The sequence below is a fragment of the Homo sapiens genome, chromosome 12 (assembly GCF_000001405.40).
Source record: "Homo sapiens chromosome 12, GRCh38.p14 Primary Assembly".
In the NCBI taxonomy this organism is placed as follows: domain Eukaryota; kingdom Metazoa; phylum Chordata; class Mammalia; order Primates; family Hominidae; genus Homo; species Homo sapiens.
In genome coordinates this window covers 9,763,096-9,770,904 of record NC_000012.12, presented here as the reverse complement: position 1 = coordinate 9,770,904, position 7,809 = coordinate 9,763,096, and the positions used below count along the sequence as shown (strand labels likewise).

The following is a 7,809-nucleotide window of genomic DNA, read 5'->3' as shown; positions in this document are numbered from 1 at the left end:
TATTCAGGCCCTCAGTAGATTAAATAATGCCCATTCACACTGGGGAGGCAAACAACTTTACCAAATCCAGATTTACAGGTTAATTTCGTCTAGAAACACCCTTGCAGACACACCCACAAATAATGTTTGGCCAAATATCTGGGCACTGCATGATGCAGTCATGTTGACCCATAAGATTAACCATCACAACCACCATCCACAGAAGTTAAGAGAGCTCTAGTGTGAGTTTAATGGGTCATTGGGCGCTAAAACAAAAATATCAATATATTTTGAATATATATTCAGAAAATATTGCAGAATCTAAAAGGGCAATGCATCAGTCAGAAACATTTTAAATATGAATATGTTTAATAACATAGCCTCAAAATCTATTAAAGAATTTTTGACAGATTTTAATGAAGAAATAGACAATTCTATAACCAAAGGGTATTTTAACATTCCTCTATGAATAATTTATAGAATAACCAGACCAAAATATCAGTAAAGATATAGAAGGTTTGAACAACACCATCAATCATCTTGGTCTAATTTATGTTTACAGAGCAATACACCCAACAACTTCAGACTGCCCCTTTTTTTCTGAATGTGCATGGCACATGCATTTGAGATAAACCATGTACTTAGCTATAAATAAACCTCAGTGTGTTCTCTGACCAAAATGGAAAAAACACTTATTTGCAAATTAAGCAAGTCTTTTCTAGATAATGCAAGTGTGAAATTATAAGGAAATTAGAAAATATTCTCACTTGAACAATAATAAAAACGTAACAACCAAAATTAGGGGAAGAGGTTTATAACAGTTTTGGAGTGAATGTTCTGGCTTTAAATCAGCCATCCATACATTTTTTTTGTGTGTATAGTAAAGAGCGGGAGAGTAAATATTTTAGGTTTTGCAGAACATAAAACCTTTATCACAAAACTCCTTTTTGATCTTCTAGCCCCAAAACAGCAATAGACAATATGAAAGCAAGTGGGCATGGCTGTATTCCAATAAAATTTTATTTACTAAAAGAAGTAACAGGAGGAATTTGGCCCATAGGCCATAGTTTGCTAATCTCTGCTTTGCATATAATTAATTATAAAAGAAAATAATTCTATAATCAATAACCTAAAGTTACCCTTAAAAACTAAAAAAATACAAATTTAATCCTAAGAAAGTAGAAATAAGCTAATAATAAAGATAAGAGCACAAAAACGAAAAAACTGAAAGCAGAGAGAAAAGTAACAAATTAAAAGACTATTTCTTTAAAAATACTGGACGATTTCCAAGCTAGGCTAATAGAAGAAAGAGATTGAAATAGAGAGACTACAAATTCTCAATATCAGAAATGAAAGAGGAACTGTTACTACCTATTGTGTAGACATTAAAAGGATAATGAAAGCAGACAATAAACCAATAAATTTAACAACTTACACAACCAAACACTTGGAAGTACTACTCAATAATACTGTCACAAGGAGAAACAGAAAACAGCCTCACATCTATTAAAAAACCGAAGTTGCCATTAAAAAAAAAAAAAAACTTTTTTAAAAAGCAAAATAAACAACGAAAAGTACCTCCAGGTCCAGATGATTTCACAAGTCACCTCTTTTAAACATTCAGAGCAATAATAATAACAAACACATACAAACCTTTTCAGAAAAATAGTAGGTATGGAAACACCGACAAATTCATTTTATAAGACCAGCCAAACACTTCATTATTTTTCAATGAAGATTTCTGATGAATATTAGTAAGAGAGAAGATTGTGAGGAAGCATATAAGTAGAATCCTTTTAATAGAAAAAAATAAGCATTTAATTAACATGTGCAACAGGTGGGGCAGTATTTTGACAGCTGATCAGAAGAGAATATACGGTATTGGCATGGAAAATAAAATAATAGGTGCATAAATTGTATACCTGTTAAAGGATGATGAAGATGTAGTTGCATCTATGCTTGGGAATAATTTATGTATCACATTTGGAAAAACTGGAAAGCATAAATTTATTTTGGTTAATACAACCTATGAAAATATTAGCTAGTTAAGGAATACTTTTTTTTTTTTTACTCTGAGTACTTCAGTCATCTTTAGCTATTTCCTCTTTATCACCTTCACATTTTCTGTTATCAGAATCATTTCACTAGCTCTTTTCAGTGTTTTGCACATACACATTCTTCTTTATATTCAATTAATTGTCTCACATTTAGAATACTGCTATGATATAATGTATTAACTTATTTCTGTCTTCAGTTTCTACCCATTTCCTCTTACTCTTCTGGGAAATGTCTCCTGCCACTGCAGCCTGAACAAATTTATTTTCTTCCTATAGATTTTTTAACCTAAACTTTTCATTTGGCAACAATCCAGTATGACAATATCATATATTTTTATCATTGTCCTATGTATTATTTTGATTTCTATTGTATTTAACTTTGTGGGCTTATTTATTCTATCTAGGTTGTTAGGACTTTGAGGAATAGAACCAGGTCATACATTTCTCTTTGTCCTCTACAGTGCATCCACTACACTGTTCAGAATCTTGTAAGCAATAAAAAAATTGTGCAGTGTACCTACTTACTGATTAATTAATGGCATATTAGTGTTTAAGACGATTGAAGCACTGTTCACTACAGATAGGGGATAATTCTATATAGTTGAATTACCCAGAATAAATTTCCCAGTGCCATAAGTTTATGTAGATAAAAACAACTGTGCACAGTCCAATTCTCTAGAGTAGAGCTTCTGCTGTACTTGTTCTATTAGTACTGGACAATTATTTTACTTACAGAAGTGAATATGCTTTTTTCTTAAGCTGTACAAAGAACCCTATAACTTTATCATTGGGTTTTTAGTTCCAGAAGAGCTTTTAATGTTGAGAAGATTAAAGGAAGAACAAAAGGTTTCACCTGCATTAATGCAACTCACATTTGATTGGCTTTGCCTCTTTTATTTAACTGTCTTCATTGTATTTGTCTTAATACAATAGCAGAGACCATAGCAGAGATTGTTAGCTGTTTTGATGTCACGTAATTAAAAATTCCCTGTAAGTACAGTTCACTTCTGTTCTAACTAGTGAATTGTGTTTATGTGAGACCTTTCAAAAATTATTCACACTTTATATATTAACTTTAAACATTAGAGTTTTTAAAATATTCTTGATTTTATTAGAGATTAATTAAAAATCTATTACAGTGTTTCTGTTAGTAGTCCTGCATAATACAATTCTAGTTTATTTTATTTTAGTGTGGGGGCAGAATCTTATATAGAAATATGGCAACGATGACATCCACAGGCACAAGCTGTATGTGAAACAACAGTTGAAAATATGGGTTCAAATTTCATATTGATTGTTTCAAAAACAGCAGTAAAACCACAAACAAATCAATTAGAACAGGCAAAAGATACAGATATTTCACTAGAGGACATACAAGCAGCAACTAAGCACACAAAAAGATATTCAACATCATTAGCCATTAGGGAAATGCAAATGAAAACCACAGGGAGATATCACTGCACACCTATCAGAATGGCTGAAATTTTAAAAACAGAGTGGCGACATCAAATGCTGGCAAAGATGCGGAGAAACTGAATCACTCGTGTATTGTTGATGGCACTGTAAAAAGGAACAGCCACTCTGGAACAGAGCTGGGCAATTTCTTAATAAACCAGGGCTTGTGGAGGGAAATGGGAAATGGGTTTAACTCTAAAGGACAACAGAAAGATTCATGTGGTGATGGATTTATTCTGTATCTTAACTGTGTCAGCGTCAATATCCTGGTTGTGATATTGCACCTTAGTTTTGTAAGATGTTGGTATTGAGAGAAGTGGATGAAAGCTTAAAGGGGCCTAGTGCAGTGGCTCACGCCTGTAATCCCAGCACTTTGGGAGGTCGAGGAGGGCGGATCATTTGAGGTCAGGAGTTCAAGACCAGCCTGGCCAACATGCTGAAACCTCATATCCACCAAAAATAGAAAATTAGCTGGGCATAGTGACAGTAACCTGCAATCCCAGCTACTCTGGAGGCTGAAGCAGGAGAATCGCTTGAACCCGGGAGGCAGATATTGCAGTGAGCAAGGATCTTGCCACTGCACTCCAGCCTGGGCGACAGAGCGAGACTCCGTCTCAAAAAAAAAAAACAAAAAAAAAAACAAAAAAAAGCTTAAAAGCCTAAAGGGAGCTTTATGTGAATCTATAATTATTTCAAAATTTTAAAAACAATAAGTAAAAAATATTTCGACCCTTCTCCCCAATCATTATATATTTTTTTTATTTATTTATTTAACTTTACTGCATGTTACATCAAGAAATATTATCTTTAAAATGGGGATACTGGGCATCTAATCTCATTTCTGATTTCACAAGAAGCATTCTCAATTGGTCATCATTAAGTATGATGTATTTTATGGATACCCTTTTCTATAATCTATAACCTATAGAGTAATGCAGTTCATTGATTCTTAGTGTGCTATAGACTTTTATTATTGATTCATGATTAAAGTTATAAAATATTATTTATCTTCTGAGGTATCATTTCCTCTTAATTTGTCAATGTGGCAAGTTGTGTTGATTGGTTTTCAAATGAGAAATCAACATTAGATTCCTGCAATAAACCAAGTTTTGCTGTGGTGTATTATTTTTTATATATTGCTGAGTACAATTTTTTAAATTTATTTTTAATTTGTTTGCCATCTGTTCTTATAAGTAAGAATAGGTCAAGTTTTGATTGCAGTGTTTTCTTGATCTGATCTTATAGTCTTTCAAATAAATTGTAATTTGCTATTTCTTTTTTAAATGTTCGTTATTTTAGAACATAAAACCATCTAGACATGGGGTTTTTGTTGTTTCTGTTGTTGTTTTGTTTTATTCTTTCCCAAAAAGAGCGTATTTAATTATGGATTCAATTAACTTAATAGTTACAGAATATTTAATTCTTTATTTTTGTCTTGCTTCAGTTTTGGAAGAGACGTCTGTCTAGAATATGTTCATTTTACTTATGTTGTCAAATATATTATAGCCAAAAAATATTCATAATATACTATTATAATTTTTCATGCCTACTTTCACCTCTCTCATACTTTCTTGTGAATTCCCTTTTAAGATAAAAGTCCCAGAATGTCATCCACCTGGAGGCATTTCCTAGGTATGTTAGGTGCACACAGATCCACAGGAAGTGGGATAAGCAGTTCTGTTCAAATTCATTATGCATCTATCAAACAAGATCCAAGTACAATTGGATACATTTTATGATAGCATAGTAGCCCAGACCCCGGCCTACCTTAAAATTCTATATGGTACATTTGCTATTTTCACACCATTATCTTTGAGAGTAGTCTCCAAAAATGTTGTATATGGATAAGTCTGGAATTAATTTAGGTAAAGTACTCAGACATGGTTAAGCGTTATATCTCATCTTTAATATAGCTCTTCTTTTATTCTCTTATGTATTTTACTTTCAGAAACAGTCAGGTTTTTCAGAGTCCAAGCTTGTGTGTACACAAGCACTATCTTTTACCTTCACTGTCTCAAGTCAAAAAGAAGAAAATGCCAGCTCACACTTTCCAAGCTCATTTTTTGTGTTTCAGATGTTCCATTGAAGAGGAAAGTTAGAAAGTTCAAAGACTTGAAGAGGACAGAAGGTTGGAAAGTGTTTAAAACTGGAAATCCCCCGTTTACTCATGGTTACCTTCATTGACCCTTTACGGTAAACAATTCAAAAACACAAAGGCACCTGCAGGTTAAAAATAAATTTTACCAATTTGTGTAATTTGCATTAATTTGAGAGAGGATGATGTATTCTAAATTGAAGTTTTGATTCACAAGAAGATTAAAAGCCATTCAGAAACCTAATTCACCCACTGAAAGGAAAAAAAAAAAAAGAGAGATGAGCAGTTTGTCTCCGGAAATTGTCTTAGGTCGGAAGTCTGTGGTCCCTGTTCACATGTACCCAAAAGCATCCTGCTGCTGCAGCTGTCTGATAAGCACAGAGTACCCCACCTTCTCTGCACACTTTGCATCTAGCTCATATTACCTCATCTTTACTTCCTTTCTGACGTCTCACCCTGGATTCTACATATAAGGTCACACAGGAAGGAAAGCTGCATTGAGTTTTGGTGTCCTGAAAGACTTTTGCCAACCTTGTCCCCGCACTAATTTCTCTAAGCCTCGGCTATACTATTTTCTCAGCTACACGATGAAATGTGAATGATAATTTCTGCCCTAAAAATATCACTTAATTTTTTAACATATCATTTATGAAAGAAGACACATAAAATGTCTCCCTAAAATGGAAAGTTACATATTATTGCCATCTGTGTTTTATAAAGAGGTTGAAAGGGGTTTGCTTGCACAAGGTTTGTTTCTTTATGTGTGTTTTTTTTTTAAGAGAACTAAACCCATCAGGGCTAACCACAATAAGTTTGCTTCCATGTTTTGATTAAAAAAAAGGGGGTACTGAAGAACTCTCTGACCCCCAAATCTCTCCCACACTGCATCTTGACCCTCTACACTTTCCTTTGTTTTTCTCTGGAATTTCACGTGTAGAGATATGTTTCTTTGGCTTAACAAGTATTGATTAGTACCGTGGGCATATAGTTTATTGTACCTAAGAGGACATTGTCACAAGTGAAATAGCATACTCTTAATAATCACTGAAATAGCGTGGTGTTAATAATTACATGTTGTTAATAATTAACAGCATGTGTCAGCTAGGACAGTGCCAAGCAACCATTATTCACTGTGAGTTTAAATTGATTGCTTTCTCAAATTAAAAGAGATTTCTCACACTTAAGAAAAATAGAAAGAATTATGGAAGGGAGGGAAGATAAATGAAGAAAAAGTTAATTTTTCAACAAGTTCAGGCTCTTGCAGAAGACCTTGAGCAGCATGGGGCCCAGTGGATATCCAGGAGGCCACTGACAACCATGTGCTTGGTACGTTGGCTACTTTTTTCTTGCAGTGGCTGCCTCCTCCCACGCACCCAAGTACTGATTTCAACAAAATACTTGGGCTATCCCCATAAAAAAAAGCAGAGAAGGGCCAGGAGCAGTGGCTTATGCCTGTAATCCCAGCACTTTGGGAGGCGGAGGCAAGAGGATCATCTGAGGTCAGGAGTTCGAGACCAGCCTGGCCAACATAGTGAAACTCCGTCTCTACTAAAAAAAAAAAAAAAAATACAAAAATTAGCCGGGCGTGGTGGTGGGTGCCTGTAATCCCAGATCCTCAGGAGGTTGAGGCAGGAGAATCGCTTGAATCCAGGAGGTGGAGGTTGCAGTGAGCAGAGATCGCACCACTGCATTCCAGCCTGGGCAACAAGAGTAAAACTCTGTCTCGAAAAAAAAAAAAAAAAAAAAAAAGCAGAGAAAAATGACTGCAAAATAAAGTTAATAGATTTTGATCAATGTCATAATGTTTAAAAATATTTCCTCAAAATAAGATTTCTAGGTATCATTTTTCTGTGGCTTAGGGCATATATGTAAATATATATTATACGTAACATATATATAAAAACCTGTGCACACTAGATGTGTGTGTGTATACACACATCCATTAACTTGATTATGGTTGAAGAAGCAAGAAACCTTGAGCAAATGAGTCTTAGTACCATGAAAACTGCTAGAGGTGGTTGTAGGAGACTGCAGTTTCCTCTGTCTCTTTCTCAGACGGAGAAGAGACACATTACATTACATCAGCAATTATGCTGTGACTTCTCAGTTATTATCTCTGAATGCCTTACATCAAATGAGGAACTTTCTCTTTTCATGACGTGTACCAAACTGTCACTCCCTTCCATATAATTGAAGGCATAATATGTACCAAATACTATATTA

At 34.3% G+C, this 7,809-nt stretch overlaps 1 annotated feature.

Moving 5' to 3' along the window:
* Window positions 5,726-6,245: a transcriptional cis regulatory region, noted in NCBI's record as "candidate enhancer chr12.528 targeted for multiplex CRISPR interference". NCBI's record gives its function as "positively regulates CD69 gene expression with high confidence in K562 cells {active_cell/tissue: K562}" and the evidence as "EXISTENCE:mutant phenotype evidence [ECO:0000015][PMID:30612741]".